Raw genomic sequence first — 21,353 nt, 5'->3', positions numbered from 1 at the left:
GTGAAATGCCCTTAATCTTTCAAGGTTGTCAATGCAAGATCAGACAAAACATAGATTTGCTTTGTGTGATTTCATTTTGAAATTGTTTTTAGTATATATTAATACCTACAAGAATATTTGTAACATAAGGATAAGGCATACACATGAATACTCCTCAATTCAACAAAAAGGTAGAATCTTTTTGTTGGATTATCCATTCCTTTATCCCATTCCTTTTCCCTGATCCCACCTGCTTCCCCCTATCCCAAAGGGAAGCATTATTAATTTTGAATTAATTATTTCATTGCTTTTCTTTGCTGTTTAATCACATGTATACTCATATTATGCTATATTTACAGCCAACTTATGTTCAGCATTACATTACTGAGATCCATTTTGATGCTTGGATGTGTAATTTATTTTTACTGATGTGTACAGTTATGCTTTGCCTCCTGTCAGTGAACAGGAGTTTTTTGCTTTTATAAACCTTGCTGTTATGAACATTCTTAGACATGTTTCCTGCTACATATATGCAAGTGTTCTTCCAGGATATACAAATATAGCTAGATTACCTTTCTTTTGTTAGTAGTTTTAAGAAATTTAATCTGTTGGCAGGGTATAGGATTGATTGAAAAGAAGACAGACTTGAAGAAGCAAGATTTATTATCTGATCACTGCAGTAAAAATGTGAGGTGGTGACAGTGATGGCAATGAAACAGAAATGGGAGGGACACACCGGAGAAGTTGTCAGGGAAGAACTCAAAGGATTTGGGGCCTGATTATATAATTTATTACAGTTGTCCCTTGGTATCCACGGGGGGTGTTCGGTCCAGGACCTAAAATCCTGGGATGCTGAAATCCCTTGAATAAAATGGTATAGCATTTGCATATAACCTACATATATCCTCCTATGTACTTTAAATCATCTCTAGATTACTTGTAATACCTGATACAATGTAAATACTGTTTAAATAGTTGTTATACTGTATTGCTTTAAAAATTTATATTTTTCGTTGTTATTTTTTATTGTTTTTTTCCTGAATATTTCGATCTTTAGTTGGTTGAATCCACGAATCTGCCAATACAGAGGGCCAGCTATATTTATTGAACACATTTATTGAATGCAGACTACTCTGTGCATTCAGTGAATGCAGACTTAGGTTAAATACTCGGTAAAAGAAAGGGTTTAAGAGGCTGACTTGTGTTACCTTATGTGTGAGTTCTTGAATAAACTGTGAGTTTCAAAGGAGGGGCAGGCCAGAGTTTAGATATGTGTGTGGTCTTCATATAACTTTGCACCACTGGGATTTGTTCCTTCTCTTCCATAGAGCTTCCCAGGTCTACCATTTTTTTGTACTATGCCAAAGTAGGGATGATGAGTTGAAAGGAAAACTCATAAGTAATTCTAAGAATTTAAGCCAAATGAAAGGTAGAATAGCAGCATTGGTAAGGGGAATGGGTAGTCACCATATGATGTTGATTTTTCTCATTGCCCCCCTCATCATTTGATTAAGGGAATGTGTAACAGCTTTCTCTGCTGTAAAGTTCCCATTTTCTACTTTTCAATTAATAAATATTTTTGGGAAAATACTTTGAGACTATGCAAATATCCTGTTTCACCTTAAACTTTTACTCGCTAATTTTAGCATCCATGGGTGATCTTATTTCCAGTAATTAATACTGTGGTATTTTAATTGTAAGTTTTGATTTCCTTCATTCTTTCTATATTTATTAATGGAATTCTTCTGTAAGGAAAATTTGTCCCTTCTTCTCTATTTACTTACTTATTTATGTCATTATGGACTTGAAGATCCAGTACTATCAGTTTTTTGGTTGCTACTGTTCCTCTGATTGTTGCAGCTTTGACCATTGCATTCTCTTTTATGTTGGCCTCTGTGTCCTTTCAATGTCTTCCCATCTGTTTTGAGGTCATGACCTTAGTTAGCTTTTTGGCACCTCAAGATGGTCTAGGCTCTTGGCTCTTGTAATGGCAAAAATCACAATTACTTTTGCACCAACCTGATATTTTCCTACCTAGCCCTGGAATCAACCATTTCTCCAAGGTGCTCTGATTCTTTTTATTGGAGAGTGGTATTCAGAAATCCACAAATGCGTACTAGGTGTGCTTACTGCTACCAGGGCTTGCTCAGCACTCTGAATGAACAGAGTTATGGGAATAGATATATGTGTATATAGTAACCCATGCATACATACATGTCTATATATGTGCTTAAAAAACCAATGATAAGTTCAGACTGATTCTAATCCAGCCCTACAAGGTCCATTTTTGTCTTCTCCCTTTCCTTACTTGTGACTTCTTTGTCTAACAGAAGCCTGGATCATATTATAAATATATATGTTTACTTATTTTTTCAATCTTGGTTTAATTATATTTCCAATCCTGGTATAATTTGAAATTATAAAGTAATTTCAAAATTGCTAACTCATACCCCTGTGCAAAACAACTTTCCCAACTAGGTTACAATGTTTGTGTAAGTTATTTTAGTCTTTAGCCTTTCTGTATCTAGTTGAAACCTAATTTTTCAAACTTACTTAGCTCATTTTCTCCCCACCCCCTTCACTGTGGTTATGTGGTTCTTTGGTAATGCTGTTAGATTCATTTGTCACCCTGTGCATTCTCAAGATACTTCTGCTTTCATATTTAAAACAAAGAAGGTTTTCACAGATTGGGTGAGAATCTTGAGCCTTCTGCATTTTGCCTTATTTCCCATTTGTTTCTCTACATCAACTGTTTTTTTCTCTTGTTTCAAAGAAGAAAGAATCTGAATTTGGAGATGACTTGGTCATGCAAAATCTTTCAACAAGGATATTGTGATCACTTCTAGGTCACAAATTACAGTCAGCCTACCAGCATCATCCTCCCTTCTTCTTCCGGGAAAGAACCAGCACTCAATGAAGGCACAATGGCATCATGTTGTATTTGGGAATTATTCTGCTTTTCTTTAGTAGTTGTGATAATCTCATACCTTAGATGTATGTTTTTTACATAAAAACATTCCTGGATACACAAGCCTGTATATTCTGTCTTCCCTGCATTTATTCTGCTTAGCCCTTCTGTTCTCCTTGCTGTTCCTTGAATTCACTGAACACATTCCCACTTTAGCACCATCTGCTCTTCTACTGCTTAGGACTTTCTCTCTCCGCGTACTGATGCTTCATCTCAGTTCTCTGCTCATTTGATGCTAGTCAGAGAGGTCTTCCTGACTACCCTGTGTATGTAGAGAGGAGTATGGCACTTCTATGTCACTTTTCCCTTTATTTTTCTTTACAGCACCTATCACTAACTGACAAGTTATACATGTGCATACTTACACACATGCATATACATCTTGTATTAGAGATTGAGTATCCCTTATCTGAAATGCTTGGGACCAGAAGTGTTTAAGATTTTGGATTTTTTGGATTTTGGAATATTTGCACATATGTTGGGGATGGAACCCAAGTCTAAACATGAAATTTGTTTACATTTTATATATACCTTATACACATGGCCTTAAGTTAATTTTATACATGTTTTAAAATAATTTTGTGCATGAAACAAAGTTTGTGTTAAGTATTTATGTGTGGAATTTACCACTTGTGGTGCCATGTTGGCACTTAAAATATTTTGGATTTTGGATTTTCAGATTAGGGACTCAACCTGCATTGCTTGTTTCCCACACTAGAACAAGGACTTTGTTCACTGCTGTGTCTTCCATATCTAGAAGAAGCCTGGGACATCTGACATAAAGTAGACAGTGTTTGGGTAACAGTATTTGTTGGGTGAATGGAAGAATATTGGTTTGGATTAAATGAATGCTTGGTTAAACTATGTGAACACTTTTACTTGAATCTCCAATGATGTAAGTTAATATTAGGGAAAACTATTCCTTCTTGTCTTCTATCACCTTGCATTTCATGTATCTTTAAATAATAACTGATATAGGTATAATACCATAGTTTGCATATCACTTGTTTATTTAATATTTGATATTGAAAACTCTTAGCACTTATGTGAGATTGATGTTTTTACTCCCATTATATTTATTAGTAAAAAGATAATGTTAAGAAATTACTGGACATATTTATACTTACTTGCATTTTCTGTGTGTTTTCTCTAGTATATAGTTAGACTGATTTATAGATTTCTACTATTGATAGAATTCATGCTTTTCTGATTGACCAAAGGGGAAATCCTTCCTATGTAAAACCTTTCATGATCTTCCTCCAAATATAGAATTGACTGCTTTCTCTTTTCGGGTTTCCACTTGTCTGTGTCCAATAAGTTTGTAAAGCTCTCAAGGTCAGGAGTTAGCATTGATGATCTTTACATTCCCAATCCTGTGCACACTTTCTGGTACATAGAAGGATGCAATAAAATCTTTAGTGAATGGAGAAAGAAAGATCTGTATAGACTTCAATAATATGAAATTTTTCTAATCACCGAATTTATATTTTTCAAAATCTTGATACAGGAGTAAACATGGAAGTACTAACTTCATTCCAGAACAATTTTTGGATGACTTCATTGATCTTGTTATCTGGGGCCATGAACATGAGTGTAAAATAGCTCCAACCAAAAATGAACAACAGCTGTTTTATATCTCACAACCTGGAAGCTCAGTGGTTACTTCTCTTTCCCCAGGAGAAGCTGTAAAGAAGTGAGTGTTATATATTTTGAGCCAATTTTTAAGAAATCTTTGCTATAATAACTAATCATCTCATAGGTTTAAGGCCTATGTTAAGGTTACCGCTAACTGGCAGTATTGTCATTTATATGATAGCTTTATTTTTGAAAATTGATCATTCTGTGTAGTCTTATTGTTTTTCCAGATTTTAAGCCATTTTCAAAAAGAGAGCATCCAATTGGTGTTATTTTGCTGCTCATTAGGCAAATTCAAGATGCACATTTTTATTATATTTCAAGGTAGATGTTTTAGGTTGATGATTACTAATTTCACAAAGTTCATTATAAAAAATTATCCTAAAACCATTTAATTGAAAATTTTCTGATTATAAGTGCAGTATAATAGATCTCATTTTTAAAACATTTTTGGGGGAATGATATGATTGTAAGAAGTAGTTAACAGTGATTAAACTCAATTTTTATTATGGGTTTTATCTTTTGAATCACTTGAGTTCTGATTGTTACAATGATAATAGGGTTAAAGAATATGGTAGTAGAATCTATGTTGGTTGGTTTTTTTTCTTCATGAGTCCACTGCAAAATCATTTTGTCTATATGTGTACATGTATGTACATATACATAGGTATATAGATGTAATACTATAGTCTACATATGCTACCATCATAGTCCTGTTAACATTTTTTTATGCTTATTATGTCTATCTTACAAGACTGATCAGACAGGGATAATAATGGATGAGTTGATTTTACTCTGGGGAAGGAAAATGTCTACCATCTTTTCCTGTGATGATAACATTAAGGTTAAATTAGCAGAAACATTTATTTTTAAGAGTATGATTTTATAAAGAAGCATTTTTAGAAACTAAGAAATATGAAAGCTTTCGTTTGCACATCACCCTGAGGAAATTTACACTGTGACTCGGTGTTCATTTCTCTCCACTTCAGACATGTTGGTTTGCTGCGTATTAAAGGGAGGAAGATGAATATGCATAAAATTCCTCTTCACACAGTGCGGCAGTTTTTCATGGAGGATATTGTTCTAGCTAATCATCCAGACATTTTTAACCCAGATAATCCTAAAGTAACCCAAGCCATACAAAGCTTCTGTTTGGAGAAGGTAATTCTTTTTGATAAAGTCAATGAGATCTACTTTAGTTGAAGAATTATTCACCTTCAATTAAGTAATTTAATAGAGTAGAGGGAAGCCTTTATGTTGATTACATTCTCATGAAGCCTGTAAGGACACTGTTCTTCAGTGAATGTGTTTAATTGTGTCCAAGATTTTTTTTTTTAAGTCATTGAGAGAGAGGAATACTGGATGTTAAAAAAAATTAAATCTCTCTCCTAGTTTCTTTCTTCCTTTTCAAAAACATAATACATAATCTTTTCTCCTTTTTAATCCTGATTTGATGATTTGTTCATTTTATTTATGAAAGCAGGCAGTAACTTTGATTGAGGAATGGGAGACTATCGTGTGTGAGAAAAGCCTTAGCTTCTAATAATCTGTATTAGGCGTCCCTTTCACCCTGAAAGCTACCCCAAATGAAATGTGAAAAATGTGTTTGCTATCCACCCTATTGCTGCAATGTAAGTCCCAAACCTCCCTCTCTATGCACATTGCCACCCCTAAATCTCTAGAAAATTTCAGCCACTACTAAGGTTGGGTGGATTAATGCATTTAATAATATGTGGTTTGACAGCTTAATTAGCATCACTTGCTGACGCTCAGTTCTTAACTCTGTGTCAGCTGTCCTACTATGTTTTCTTTTCATGAAAAATCAGGTAACATAGTAACAATGATAATAATTATGACCAGTGATACTTACTGATTTACTGTATGTGATGTGCACTGTTGACAGCATTTAATCTAGCCAACAATACTATATGTGAGTAGTTTCTACCATCTATAGTTTAGAGGAACTGAACCTTAGATAAGGTGACTCATTCAGTGTCACAGCTTTTTGAGCAGTGTGTAGCTCACGTAACCAAAAGTGTACGCTTGTTTCAAGATGATTGACTCTAGAAACTCAAACATAGATTAAGATTCTGGCATCCCTAAATCCAATCTCTCAAGCCAAAGAGATAGAAAATGCATTAATTGCTTTTGCATTGATTGATCCAGGCCTGAGTCATGTGCCCTTCCCTGGAGTCAGACCTGGGTTTTTCAACTTTGGCTTAGTTGACATTTTGTACTAATAATTCTTTGTTGTGGGAGGCAGTTCTGTGCACTCTGGGATGTTTAGCAGTATTCTCCCTGGTTTGTACCCACTAGATGCCAGTAGTACCCCTTCTAACTGGTCGTGATGATCAAAAATGTTTACAGACCTTGCCAAATGTCCTTAGAGAAGCAAAGTCACCTCTGGTTGAGGTCTACTGTATGAACTTCACCTAAATCCTGTGGGCTTTGGTGACATGAATCCAGAGAGGAAAGTAGACGCTGGTGACACAAAGTAATAGAGGTTCATTTTAAACACCAGGTGTGCACATAACTTTCTGTTATCTCTGTATTTTATGTACATTTCTGTTATTGTACTTAGTTAAGTTATATTATTTTTTATAAGCATGTGAGTGTCTTCTGAACTCTTTGAGGACAGGACCCATATCTTACTTTTCTGTCTCAGCACTTGACCTAGTACCTGGCAAAATGATGCTCTATAAATGCTTGTTGGATTGAAATAATTGACCTAGGAGATCATATTCTTATAGATTTTCTCTGTGCTGTCTGATATGTATTCACTAGCACATGTGGCGTTTACATTTAATTATTTACATTTAAATTTAAAATTCAGTTTCTCACTTGTACTAGCCACATTTCAAGTACTCTATATCCACATATGGTTTTGGCAACCATATTGAATATGCACATAGAAAAAATTATTGCAGAAAACTCTTTTGGACTTCATTGTTACAGACAGTTTAAAGGACAAGATTATAAAGTCTTAGATGTGAAAGAAATCTGAGGACAAAAACACTTGTTCTGTATTGTTCTTGAGATCAGGACCAAGTTATAGGAAGGCAGTTTTTGTTCCAATACAAGAACTTTCTAAGAACTAGAATTGTTCAGCTATGAAGTTGGCCATCTGGAGATATCTAATCACTGTGCACACAGCCATTTATGAAAATAATCTAGTGCTGTCTCCTTGTAACTTGGTTTTACCCTTAAGAACAATATAGAACAAGTGCTTTTGTCTTCAGAACTCTTTCAAGTCTAAGATGTTATAATCTTATCCTCTCAGAGTATGAGACAACTCCACATATTTGAAAACATCAGTCTTATTTTCTTTTACCTTGAACTCTTCCAAGATAAATAATCTAAAGTCCTTGCTTATTGATCCCTAAATCTTCTGGTGAGTCTCCCATGGATCATATGACTGCAAAAACTAGACTTACTTGGTTTTAAGTTGGTAAGCTGAGGAAAGCCTTATTGAAACATGAGTAGTAATATTTTAAGTTTTATTCTAAAAGAATTATTTTAGAGATTGAAAAATTATGAAGAACTTTCATGAAAGGAAAACATTAAGGAATAGTATTAAAGGAGCATTACAAGAAGGTATATTTGAAAAGGTGTCATAAATGACCTAGGAAATAAAGATGATTATGTAGTTCAGGAAAATTCCTGTGGTAATAAGCTGCTATTCAGCCAAGTTAAACTCAGTTTACTACGTTGTTTTTTAATCTTTTTAAAAATTTTGAGATTGAAGAAATGCTTGAAAATGCTGAACGGGAACGTCTGGGTAATTCTCACCAGCCAGAGAAGCCTCTTGTACGACTGCGAGTAAGTCCTATTTATATAGATTGAATATTATTAATTTTCAAAGCATAGTAATGTACAGTTTACATGGTTTCTTTGAAAAGTAGTGAGGAGAGTGCTCATAGTAATAAGAAGAGCAATCACCATCGGAGGCAAAAACAAAGATATAAGGATTTGAGTTAATCACAGTTTAAGTGATAGGTTTGGTAACTTATTTTTCTCATTTTCTAAATAATTTGTTGTTATATTTAATAGATTGGCTGAGCTCTCTGGCTTCATCTTTAACTACCTCCTCTACTCACTTCATTCCAGGCATCTTGGCCTTCTCGCAGTTTCTTGGGCATGTGGGATGTGCTCTTATCTCCCTTTAGTCTGCTCCCGTGTCACCTCACTGCAGCCCTATCATCAAGATTGCAGCCCCTACCTTCTCTCCAGTGCCCTGATTTCACTTACCTTCTTCTGCTTCCTCTTTTCTTCTTATTTTTTTCCCCGTAACACATCCTTCTAATCTATGTACGGTTTATTTGTTTTGGTTATTATTAGGATTGTTTCCTGTGCCTATAAATCTGCTTATCCTTTCTATCGTGTTATAAACAAAGAAACAACAACAGACTTCTTCTTTACCACTATGCTTTTCCCTTTTCCAAACTCCTACCCCATGTTGCTTACTCTCTTTAAAAGCCCCTAAAAGTATATAACCTATATCTCTCTTAACTTTCTCTTCTTCAGTTCACTATAACCAAGGCTCTGACTTCACCATAACCAGTGGAAAAGATGACCTTTAATTGTTCAATCCAATAGATCGTGTCTCATCTTGCTGAATTACTCTTGGGCATTCTCTGAGTTATTTGTATCCGTCCCGTCTCATAGTTAGCCCTCTTTTCAGTGTAGGCATACAGCTTTAATGACCACCAATAGAGTGATGACTTCAAAATCTTTACGTAGACCTCCTTCTTGTTCTGTATCTCCAGGAGTCCCCTGAGGCCTGGTACTGAGGAGTGTAGTCTTTAAACCAGCAGTGTTGTTGTTGCCTGGGAAATTGTTAAAAATGCAGAGCCTCAGACCCTGCATCAGAACCCACTGTATTTTAACAAAAATCTCCAAGAAATGTATATGTTCATGAAAATTTGAGAAGTACTGGGATGTAGACTGTGGAGGTAAAGAGTACAGTGTAGAGCCAGACTTCCTGAGCTTCATTCTGGCCCAACCACTAGTTGTATGACCTTGAGCAACCGCATCCCTTATCCCTTGGTTTGTATTAGGTTGGTGCAAAAGTATTTGCGGGTTTTGTCGTAGAAAGTAATGGCAAAAACTGCAGTTACTTGTGCACCAACCAAATGCTTCGTAGATTTATGAGATCTAAATGGATTAAATAGTGTCTGTTGCACAGTAGGTAATCTGTTCCCGTTTCTTTATCCCACTGTCGCTGGCATAGTGAAGCCCTTATTAATACTTCCTGGCCTATTGCTGCAGCCTCCTACCAGGACTCTGCCTCCAGTTTCCTTCTCTCTCCACACTAATGCCAAAATGATCTTTGTAAAACACAGTTTTGCATGTCTTTTCTGCTAAAAATAACTTAATTATTCCCCAGCACTAACAGGAAAAAGTCTAAACTTTTTTAGGTTAGCATTCAGGGGTCTACATGATGTGGTCTAAACCAAAAAAGCTGCCGTCCCCTGGGTGCAGTGGAGTTTATTTCACTGGAACCTTTGTCCATGTTGATCCTGTTGCGTGGGACATACTTCTCTCCTCCTTTCTCTATACCTTCTTCAGCACCCACCTAAAGCCTCTGTCTTCAAAGAAGCCTTTCTTGACCTGCCCACAGAGAACATGCTTCTTCCTTTGTGTCCTCATCCAACTTTGTACATACCTCTTATAGCACCACTCACAGTCTGCTTCCAGTGATCTGTTTACATGTTTTTCTTCCCAGTCAGTTTGTGAATTTCTTGACAGCCAAGATTGTATTTATTTATGGTTGTATCCCTGGCCCTGAACAGCATACTTAGAACATTGAGGACATCCAATAAAATTTGTTATGACCAAACATTTATAAATGAGAAGTTTGAAGGAGAGACCTAATAGCTTTAGCATTTAGTATTTTGTCTTTTATAACATGGTAGCTGTAGAGATGATCTGGGTAAGGCTGGGCATGGTGGCTCACGCCTGTAATCCCAGCACTTTGGGAGGCCGAAGTGGCTGAATCATCTGACGTCAGGAGTTCGAGACCAGCCTGGGCAACATGGCAAAACCCTGTCTCTACTAAAAATAAAAAAATTAGCCAGGTATGGTGGTGCATGCCTGTAATCCCAACTACTTGGGAGGCTGAAGCGTGAGAATCGCTTGAACCCGGGAGGCAGAGGTTGCAGTGAGCTGAGATTGTGCCTCTGCATTCCAGCCTGGGTGACAGTGAGACGCCATCTCAAAAAAAAAAAAAAAAAAAAGAGAGAGAGAGAGATGGTCTGGGTAATACAAAAATAATTACTTTAAGGGAATCACATAGTTCTCTTCATTATGGCAAAAGATCCCAATTTTCTCATCTGTGTCTGCCTCACAGCATTAAAACTAACCAGACTTTAATAGAAAATTGGCATTTCTTTTCCTAAGCACAGTAAATTACGAATTCATTCATAAAACAGCACATATTGTCATATAAGTAATATTACAAAACTACATTGTACTGACTAAAAGACATTCATTAATTCATTGACTAAATCTTACTGAGTACCTGCTATTATGGATGCTGCAGGATATAGGGATGATAAAACAGATGAGGTTTTGAATTCGTCGAGCTTACAGGAGGTGGAGGTGCAAAGAGAGACATGATACACAAATATCAAATAAATGAACAAAAAACCTTAGCAGATAGTGATGATGAGTGAAAGTGGGAGCACTTTAGTTAGGGAGCATTCTGGATAAGCTGTGAGGTGGTGCAGTGCTGGTCCCCATAGCGTACTTTGGGAACAGCTAGTTGAGAAGAACATATCTCTGAGAAAGAAAGGTGGTATTTGTCTTTGTAAAGGTCTGTTTACCACTACAGACTTCTGTAGAAAGAGTCTACCTTGAGAGAAGTTCTCAGTTTCAGTGAGATACCATGTTTTGGAGGTAATCATTTCTCAAGGCTCACAGATTTGATTCTTTATTACCTGGATGTTCCTAGCATTCATCTTTCTCTTGAGGCACATCTCTAAGATGATAGACCAATTTACTAATGCATTTAAGGCTAGTATTTTATTTTGGTGTGTGTTTGTTTGTTTGTTTGTTTTGAAAGTTCAGAAAATTGTTTTCAGATGGTTTGCTTGGTAGGTACCTAGACTATTAGTGTTATCAGGGGGAGATGTAATCATTCTGCATTGTGGAAATTATTGCAATACCTTGATTCCATCGAACAAAGTATTTTGCTTATGCTTATAAACTTTTCAAACATTAGTTTCTCAGTAGGATAAATGATATAGCTCCATCATGATCTACTGTAGAAAATTAATTCATAAATTTCAAAGTATCAAGCATAAACACTGTGAATACTGAAGGATTAGTGTGTGTTTTAAAAATTGGCAAATTGTTGTTTCCTAGCGTTCATAGATTATTCTGTGTTTTCAGGTGGACTATAGTGGAGGTTTTGAACCTTTCAGTGTTCTTCGCTTTAGCCAGAAATTTGTGGATCGGGTAGCTAATCCAAAAGACATTATCCATTTTTTCAGGCATAGAGAACAAAAGGAAAAAACAGGTAAGCTAGTTATTTTTATGAGGTAAAAAAATGTTCTTATAGGATTTGTGAAGGAATCTTTATTAAAAACTGTAACATAATAATGGAAGATGTTTTAATATGATTGTAATGTCTTAAACAAATTGACAGTGGGAATAATTCTCTTGTCTTCTAAAAATTAGATAGCAATCTTTTTTATTATTATTATACCTTAAGTTCTAGGGTACATGTGCACAACGTGCAGGTTTGTTGCATATGTATACATGTGCCATGTTGGTGTGCTGCACCCATTAACTCGTCATTTACATTAGGTATTGCTCTTAATGCTATCCCTCCCCCCTCCCCCAACCCCATGACAGGCCCCGGTGTGTGATGTTCCCTGCCCTGTGTCCAAGTGTTCTCATTGTTCAATTCCCACCTATGAGTGAGAATATGCGGGGTTCGGTTTTCTGTCCTTGCGGTAGTTTGCTCAGAATGATGGTTTCCACCTTCATCCATGTCCCTACAAAGGACATGAACTCATCATTTTTTATGGCTGCATAGTATTCCATAGTGTATATGTGCCACATTTTCTTAATCCAGTCTATCATTGATGGAAATTTGGGTTGGTTCCAAGTCTTTGCTATTGTGAATAGTGCCACAATAAACACATGTGTGCATGTGTCTTTATAGCAGCATGATTTATAATCCTTTGGGTATATACCCAGTAATGGGATGGCTGGGTCAAATGGTATTTCTAGTTCTAGGTCCTTGAGGAATCACCACACTGTCTTCCACAATGGTTGAACTAGTGTACAGTCCCACCAACAGTGTAAAAGTGCTCCTATTTCTCCACATCCTCTCCAGCACCTGTTGTTTCCTGACTTTTTAATGATCGCCATTCTAACTGGTATGAGATGGTATTTCATTGTGGTTTTGAATTGTATTTCTCTGACGGGCAGTGATGATGAGCATTTTTTCATGTGTCTGTTGGCTGCATAAATGTCTTCTTTTGAGAAGTGTCTGTTCATATCCTTCACCCACTTTTTGAAGGGGTTGTTTGATTTTTTCTTATAAATTTGTTTAAGTTCTTTATAGATTCTGGATATTAGCCCTTTGTCAGAAGGGTAGATTGCAAAAATGTTCTCCCATTCTGTAGGTTGCCTGTCCACTCTGATGGTAGTTTCTTTTGCTTTGCAGAAGCTCTTTAGTTTACTTAGATCCCATTTGTCAATTTTGGCTTTTGTTGTCATTGCTTTTGGTGTTTTAGTCATGAAGTCCTTGCTCATGCCTCTGTCCTGAATGGTATTGCCTAGGTTTTCTTCTAGGGTTTTTGTGGTTTTAGGTGTAACATTTAAGTCTTTAATCCATCTTGAATTAATTTTTGTGTGAGGTGTAAGGAAGGGATCCAGTTTCAGCTTTCTACATATGGCTAGCCAGTTTTCCCAGCACCATTTACTAAATAGGGAATCCTTTCCCCATTGCTTGTTTTTGTCAGGTTTGTCAAAGATCAGATGGTTGTAGATGTGCATTGTTATTTCTGAGGCCTCTGTTCTGTTCCGTTGGTCTATATCTCTTATTTTGGAACCAGCACCATGCTGTTTTGGTTACTGTAGCCTTGTTGTGCAGTTTGAAGTCAGGTAGGGTGATGCCTCGAGCTTTGATCTTTTTGCTTAGGATTGTCTTGGCAATGTGGGCTCTGTTTTGGTTCCATATGAACTTTAAAGTAGTTTTTTCCAATTCTGTGAAGAAAGTCATTGGTAGCTTGATGGGGATGGCATTGAATCTATAAATTACCTTGGGCAGTATGGCCATTTTCACGATATTGATTCTTCCTATCCATGAGCATGGAACGTTCTGCCATTTGTTTGTGTCCTCTTTTATTTCGTTGAGCAGTGGTTTGTAGTTCTCCTTGAAGAGGACCTTCATATCCTTGTAAATTGGATTCCTAGGTATTTTATTCTCTTTGAAGCAATTGTGAATGGGAGTTCACTCATGATTTGGCTCTCTGTTTGTCTGTTATTGGTGTAGGAATGCTGTGATTTTTGCACATTGATTTTGTTTTTATTTTCATTTTTTTGAGACAGAGTCATGATCTGTTACCCAGGCTGGAGTGCAGTGGCGTGATCTCAGCTCACTGTAAGCTCCGCCTCCCAGGTTCACGCCATTCTCCTGCCTCAGCCTCCCGAGTCGCTGGGACTACAGGCACCTGTCACCACGCCCCTGCTAATTTTTGTATTTTTAGTAGAGACGGGGTTTCACCGTATTATCCAGGTTGGTCTCGATCTCCTGACCTTGTGATCCGCCCACCTCGGCCTCTCAAAGTGCTGGGATTACAGGCGTGAGCCACCGCGCCTGGTCTGCACATTGATTTTGTATCCTGAGACTTTGCTGAAGTTGCTTATCAGCTTAAGGAGATTTTGGGCTGAGACGATGGGGTTTTCTAAATATACAATCATGTCATCTGCAAACAGGGACAATTTGACTTCCTCTTTTCCTAATTGAATACCCTTTATTTCTCCTGCCTGATTGCCCTGGCCGGAACTTCCAACACTGTGTTGAATAGGAGTGATGAGAGAGGGCATCCCTGTCTTGTGCCAGTTTTCAAAGGGAATGCTTCCAGTTTTTGTCCATTCAGTATGATATTGGTTGTGGGTTTGTCATAAATAGCTCTTATTATTTTGAGATATGTTCCATCAATACCGAACTACCTTGACGTCACAAGGCACCAGCAGTACCCATGATTGCTTTTGCATCGTCAGTGTAGCAATGATGGCAGATGGCAAAATGGCAAATAACATCTTAGGATTATTATGAAAGTATTTTTGACGTTATTACTCCCTGAATGGGTCTTGAGGACCTCCAGAAGTCTGTGCTTCACCCAGTGAGAACAGCTACAAGACACCTATCCTGGAGGTATGAACGAGAAATACTGACTGTGGGGAAAAGACCGTGGCTATTAACAAAAATGGCTTGTTTTGCCTCAAAATTTACCATGTTGAGCAAGCTGGCAGTTGCTAAAGTTTGGCCTTACCTTCTCCACTGACAACTTGCAATGAGTATGCACATTTTAACATTATGATAGAAGCTATTTTTTGATATACTTCTTTTTTTCTAGGAGAAGAGATCAACTTTGGGAAACTTATCACAAAGCCTTCAGAAGGAACAACTTTAAGGGTAGAAGATCTTGTAAAACAGTACTTTCAAACCGCAGAGAAGGTAATTTCTTACAGTTCACATTTTGAATAATGGCTACCTTATAGTAACAGATTTTAATTTAGGATATGTTTAGTTGATAGTTTAAACAAAATGAATCCTCAAAATGTTTCTATGAAGTAAGTAGGGTGACAATTAATTACATTCATTTGCAGTTGCTGCACAGCAGGGAAAATTAGTGTTTAATTAATGTTAGTTATTAGTACTGTTATTAATATAGCTGTTATTGTTGATGTTGTTATTCTCTTTCTTTGTATCTCTGTTGCAATTATTAAACTGAATAATTTTAACTTAAATCAGGGACATTCTTAAGTGAAACTTAGAAGTAACTAGGGTGACATTTACATTCATTTGTAGTTGCTGCACATCAAAGAAAATTAGTGTTTAATTAATGTTAATTGTGAATACCATTATTAACATAACTGTTATTGTTGTTGTTATTTTCTTACTTTATTTGTATCTCTGTTACAAAGATCTCAATCCAGATTTAGTTTTCTCACATTTGGATGTAATTTCAGAATTATTCTACAAACAAAGACAGCCAAATGATGGTGAAGCCACTGAAACTTACGTCATAAGTATATGCCACTCTAAGATCCTCCGGTTGTATTAGTTTCCTATGGGTGCTGAAACAAATTTCCACAAACTTAGTGGTTTAAAACAACACAAATTTATTATCTTACAGTCGTGTAGGTCAGAAATCGTACACAGGACTGGAATCAAGGTTTTGGCATGGCTGTCTTCCTTTTTGGAGGCTCTAAGGGAGAATCCATTTTCTTACCTTTTCCAGCTTCTAGAGGTGCCTACTATGTTCCTTGGCTCTTGCTCTCCTTTTATCTTCAAATCCTGCAATGTTGTATCTCTCTAACCATTTCCCCAGAGTTATTTTTCCTTCCAGCTCCCATCTGCCTCCCTCTTGTGCTTTTCAGGACCCTTATGATTACACTGGGCCCACCTGGATAGTCTCTGATACTCTCCCTATTTTACAGACAGCTGATTAGCAACCTTTGTTCCTCTTTGCCATGTATTCACAGGTCCCAGAGTTTAAGACGTGGACATCTTTAGGGGGCTCTTATTTTGCCTATGACACTGGTTAATTTCATCTCTATTAATCATAGCTGCCATTTTTGGACTCCATATCCTAGCCATCAGGCCTCTACATTTCACGTGTCCTGTACTCCTCCCCCATTTCTGGTTTTGACTTTGCTTTTTCTGGTTCCTGATATTAGTAGGCTTAACTACAGCTGTTCACTATATTTTTTCTCTGGTAACATATTTGGTAATTTTCCTTGCTCATCTATAATTATTTTGTAAGGAATAAAAACTATTTCTGCATCCAGTGATTTGTATCTTACAGAATGTGCAGCTCTCACTGCTAACAGAAAGAGGGATGGGTGAAGCAGTACAAGAATTTGTGGACAAGGAGGAGAAAGATGCCATTGAGGAATTAGTGAAATACCAGTTGGAAAAAACACAGCGATTTCTTAAAGAACGTCATATTGATGCCCTCGAAGACAAAATCGATGAGGAGGTAAGTAACTAATTTGAGTGTCTAGGTCTATTTAAATAGTCTGTCTTTAAGAGTAGCTCTGAGATTTTTTTCTGGTAAATCACTATTTAACCTCTCTGATTTGTTTAGTTTTTCTCATCTATAAAATTGAAATGATAAAATGAAGGTTAAATTAGAAAATGTAGAAAATGCCTAGAACAGAGTCTTGCATATGGTTGGTACTAAAGTGTTTTGTTCCCCATGGATAGTATCTTCTCTTAAAGATCCTTTGAAAGGGCTTTAAAGTGAACCTTGTAGGATGGTAATTTTTGTTCATTTTAATTTTTTTAGTAAGTTTTGATTGAGATCTTGAATTTCATTTAGAAAATTTCTGCTAAGCAAGAAGCAGTGGAAAAATTACAGGAAAAGCTGTCTAGACTTGACTACATAGAAATTATAAATGTTTGCATATCACATTGTCAAAAAACAAAATTAAAAGATATTGACATGAAAATATTTGTATGTGGGCAGAAAAAAGTTTAATATTCTTAATATTAATGAGCTCTTAGAAATCTTAAAAATAATTAAACATTTGATAGAATAATGAACAAAGGACATGAATAGGTGGTTCATAAAAGAAATATAAATAGCTAATAAGCATATGAAAATGGTGTTTAGCCTAGGATAATCAAAGAAACTCAAATACATCTTTTGTTTGTCAAATTGGCAGCAATTTGAGAAAAATAGTATCTAGCACACTGCTGGTAGTAGTATTACGTTTGAATAGCTTTACTGAAAAGCAGTTTGGCAGAGTATATTAAGAGGCTTAAGATTTACCCTTTAACTCAGCCTGGGAAATTTCCCTATGAAAATAGTGAGGTAGAGATTTGTGTATGGAGTGATTCATCTTAGTGTTGTTCATAGTGGGGAATAATTGGAAATGTTTTGATACAATAAATGTTGGTACATATACCATATAAAATTTTACACAGCTTAAAAATGACATTTTGGAAGAAGAACATGAGAAGATATTTCTAATCTAATGTTAATTGGGAAAGATTTCAAAGATAAAAAACTGCGTAGTATAATCTCAATTATTTTTATTTTATATGTAATTGTGTATGTTTATGTAAATAAAGAAAATATCCCAGATATATTATCAACAGTTATGTCAAGGTAGTTATATTACAGGGGATCACTTTCTCTATTTCCCAGATTCTCCCTAAGCAGAAGAACAAAACAATGTTATTTAAAAAAAAAAAAAAAACTCATTCCCTTATTTTAGTGCTTTTGGTTAACATGGTTCTCTTAAAGCCTTATGGTGTCAATGTGTAACTAATATTATTTAATACCAAGTACTTCCAGAGGTAGGACAGGCAGTTCACCCTCTAAAACCATTCACTCTATGACTCTGGATGTGTTGGGTTTGCTAATTTATAGCATAAATAGATTTCTCAGGTACATACCAGAAATAAAACATAACCATCCCCACCTGGAGTGACATCATGACTCCTGAGCAGCAAAGTCTGTGTGGGGTGTGTGTGTGTGTGTGTGTGTGTGTGAGAGAGAGAGAGAGGGAGAGAGAGAAAGAGAAAGAGTGTGTGTGAGTCATGGTGGCTCTGACCAGACACCCGTGTTCAAAATCAAAACCCTTATTAGCTGTGTACCCATCATTGAGTTATCTAAACCCACCTATCCCTCAGTATCCTCATCTGAGGATAAAATGGTGATGATAATAGGCCCTCCTTCAAGGTTGTTGTAAGGATTAGAAGAATTAATCCATGTAAAATCCTTAGAATACTGTCTGACACATAGTGCCTGTTCAGTGTTCCCACTCTGACTCTCATTTCTCTTCTGTGAATGGCTTAGCACCTTTGGTATGCTACTTATCACCTAGGGCACGATTACATACTGTCTCATCTTTTAAAATATTGTTATTCTTGTATTTTTCCTCTACTGAATCATAACAAACATGCTGTTATTTCTTTCAGCTTAAGAAACAAACAAAACTCTCGATCCCATTTTCCTTTAGCTACTGCTCTCTGTTCCTCTTCTAGAGCAGAATCGCTTCAAAGAGTTTTCTGTATTTGCTGACTCATTCTTCTCTCTCCATTTTCTATTAAATCTATCCACTCAGGCTCCTGATCCCATCATTCTAGTGAAGCTGCACTTGTCAAGATCACCAGTGACTGCCATTGCTAAATCCACTGTCAGTTTTCTATCTTACATCTCACTTGACCTTCTTTGAAACATGTTTTTTATTGGATTTCAGGATACCAGACTCTTGTTATCTTCCTGCCTCACTGGCTGCATATTTTCAGTGTCTTTTGTTGATTCCTCTAATTGCTCCAGCCTCTTACATTGGAGTCTTATTTGCTGTTCCCTCTCCCATATCATCAATTGATTATAGATTCCATGAGAGCAGCTTTTTGTCTGTTTTGTTAATAACTGTATTCTCAGTTTCTACGATAATATATGGCACATTGAAGGTGCTCAGTAAATATGTGCTGAGTAGATTATTAAATAAATGGGCTTAAAGAACATATACATAGCTGTATAATAAGAGCCTTGTGAGCAGGAACCATTAAAAAAGAAACCTGTAGTCTCCTTCTTGATACCAGGACCATGCTCAGCAAACCTTCATGAGTTGACTCTTAATAAAAATGGATCTTCAGGGGCCACCCACTTCAGATCCCATTTCACAGAGCCTCCTGGATGTCTTGCAGCAAGGTGCACAAGAGTGATTTGCAATGTAATAAATATTTCAAGCCTTGTCAAGGAGATATTTTTGTTTTTAACTAGTTTACTGAAGTGTAATACCCATAGGGTATTAGAATTTTTCCTGTACAGTCTGAAAGACTTTTTCAGTGATGTGAAACATTTTGGCAGCAGGTAATATAATTTTGCTTCGGGTCAATATGAGTTTTTTTTTTTAAGAGTACATTGTGCAATTTTAACGTTAATAATTGGAAAAATATGATTTACTTTTGTGAGACATTGTTAAATTTGCAAGTTTTATAACATAAAGCATTTCTTAATTGTAGCCCCTTGTTTTATATTTACATAACTGGAATAGGCAACATGTTTGTGATTTACTCTGTTATGATCTAGGTACGTCGTTTCAGAGAAACCAGACAAAAAAATACTAATGAAGAAGATGATGAAGTCCGTGAGGTAATTATTCTGCTGCAAATTCTTGTGTTTATATATCACTTTCTTAAACTAGAATAACCAGTAGGTTTAGTTAGAATAGTCAGTCCATAGGTCTAGGGGATAGGAGTGAGCTGGGGTTGGCTTAGGATGGCTGCTTTTGGTTGATTTCAGTTCAGCCTACAAATATTCTGCTCATTGCTCTTTTTTTCCATTTTGTTCTTGTCTAAAACCTGTTTAGCAAGTGCAGTGACTCACACCTGTAGTCTTGGCTACTTGAGAGGCTAAGGTTGGAGGGGATTGCGTGAGCCCAGGAGTTCAAGGCTGCAGTGAACTATGGCTGCACCACCACACTCTAGCCTGGGCAACAGAGTGAGACCCTGTCTCTAAAATAAATAAATAAAAATAAATAAAACCCATTTAATTGTATGTGTGTGGGGATATATACAACAAAAGCCCCTATTACTCAAAATAATATCTCTTTGTTAGCAGAGCATCTTATAGATAAAATCTTATCTTACTGAGCTGATATTATTTTGGGCAAAAAAGAAACTTAAAGTGTTTTGGTTAGCAATGTTAACCATAAGTAAGCAAGCATGGGCAAATAGACAATTTCTATTATCTATTCTAAAATATTAAAATTAGCTTAAGCACCATCATCACTGTCTTCTCAGTCTCATTGCAGGTTTGAATCTACAAGTTAGCAACCATTTACTTAAATTTGGGGCCTCTACCTGGTACTTGTTGAATTTATGATTGAAATGTATTTTCTTATTTTCTGATTGCCCTTAGTGTTTTATGATTGCTATCTAGTATTTAAAAGTTATAAACTATGTACTGTTAGTTTTGTCTTGATTGCTTTCATTCAGCAAACATTTTATATTGTCCCTGTTATGGGTTAGATATTCTGCTTTATATTAGGACTGTACATATAAAAAAGCTGAGGTCTGTAGCCACAAGATTTTCTCAATTTAGTAGATAAGAGACATTTGTGTAAGGAAGATATTTATTGAATTATTTTTCCTAGGTGCCCATTTTATAAATGAGGAGACAGACCAGACTCAAGGTCATGGAGTGGCGCTAGAATTTGAACATATTTCTGACTCCAAGTGTAGACTTTTCTATCATCCTGTGTCCTATCAAAATTTTAGATTATTATAATATTAATTCGGTGCATTGCAAATGGATGGTTTTCTAAAAATGAAAAACTTCTAAAAGTGTCATGCAACACATCAGAATCACTGTTGAAATACACATAGTTGCAACCACTGTATCTTTTACAGGTTGTTTTTTGGAAGCTAAGGAAAAGAAGCTATAGATTAGAAATGGCTTAACACGTTTATTATATTTCTATTTATCTTATAAGGTGCATTTAAAATAGAAATAGTTTGCCAAATTGCAAGAATAATGCTAGGAAGAAATGATTCCTGATTCTTAAA

The 21,353-nt window shown here is 36.1% G+C and overlaps 1 protein-coding gene and 1 non-coding gene across 38 annotated transcripts in view; both read left to right on the top strand.

Annotated features, from left to right (window-relative positions):
- MRE11 (MRE11 double strand break repair nuclease) overlaps window positions 1–21,353 on the top strand; it is a 96,843-nt gene that overhangs the window by 36,199 nt on the left and 39,291 nt on the right. For 28 of the 37 annotated variants that reach the window (XR_007062484.1, XR_007062482.1, XR_007062483.1 and 25 more), the window contains 7 exons: window positions 4,455–4,640; window positions 5,572–5,743; window positions 8,321–8,401; window positions 11,975–12,101; window positions 15,178–15,278; window positions 16,633–16,806; window positions 19,876–19,938. Coding sequence is in view for 33 of the 37 variants with exons in the window: in XM_011542837.3 (XP_011541139.1) it covers window positions 4,455–4,640; window positions 5,572–5,743; window positions 8,321–8,401; window positions 11,975–12,101; window positions 15,178–15,278; window positions 16,633–16,806; window positions 19,876–19,938 (904 nt within the window). In the remaining 4 variants the exon portion in view is untranslated. The remainder of the gene's footprint in view (window positions 1–4,454; window positions 4,641–5,571; window positions 5,744–8,320; window positions 8,402–11,974; window positions 12,102–15,177; window positions 15,279–16,632; window positions 16,807–19,875; window positions 19,939–21,353) is intronic. The other 9 variants (NM_001440469.1, NM_001440467.1, NM_001440481.1 and 6 more) reach the window with 2 other exon arrangements.
- MIR548L (microRNA 548l) lies at window positions 9,634–9,719 on the top strand. Its single transcript, NR_031630.1, has one exon. It is a non-coding gene; the product is annotated as a microRNA 548l (primary transcript).

Source organism: Homo sapiens, chromosome 11, assembly GCF_000001405.40.
Source record: "Homo sapiens chromosome 11, GRCh38.p14 Primary Assembly".
NCBI lineage: Eukaryota > Metazoa > Chordata > Mammalia > Primates > Hominidae > Homo > Homo sapiens.
The sequence above is the reverse complement of the archived record's forward strand: the minus strand, read 5'-3'. Positions and strand labels throughout refer to the sequence as shown.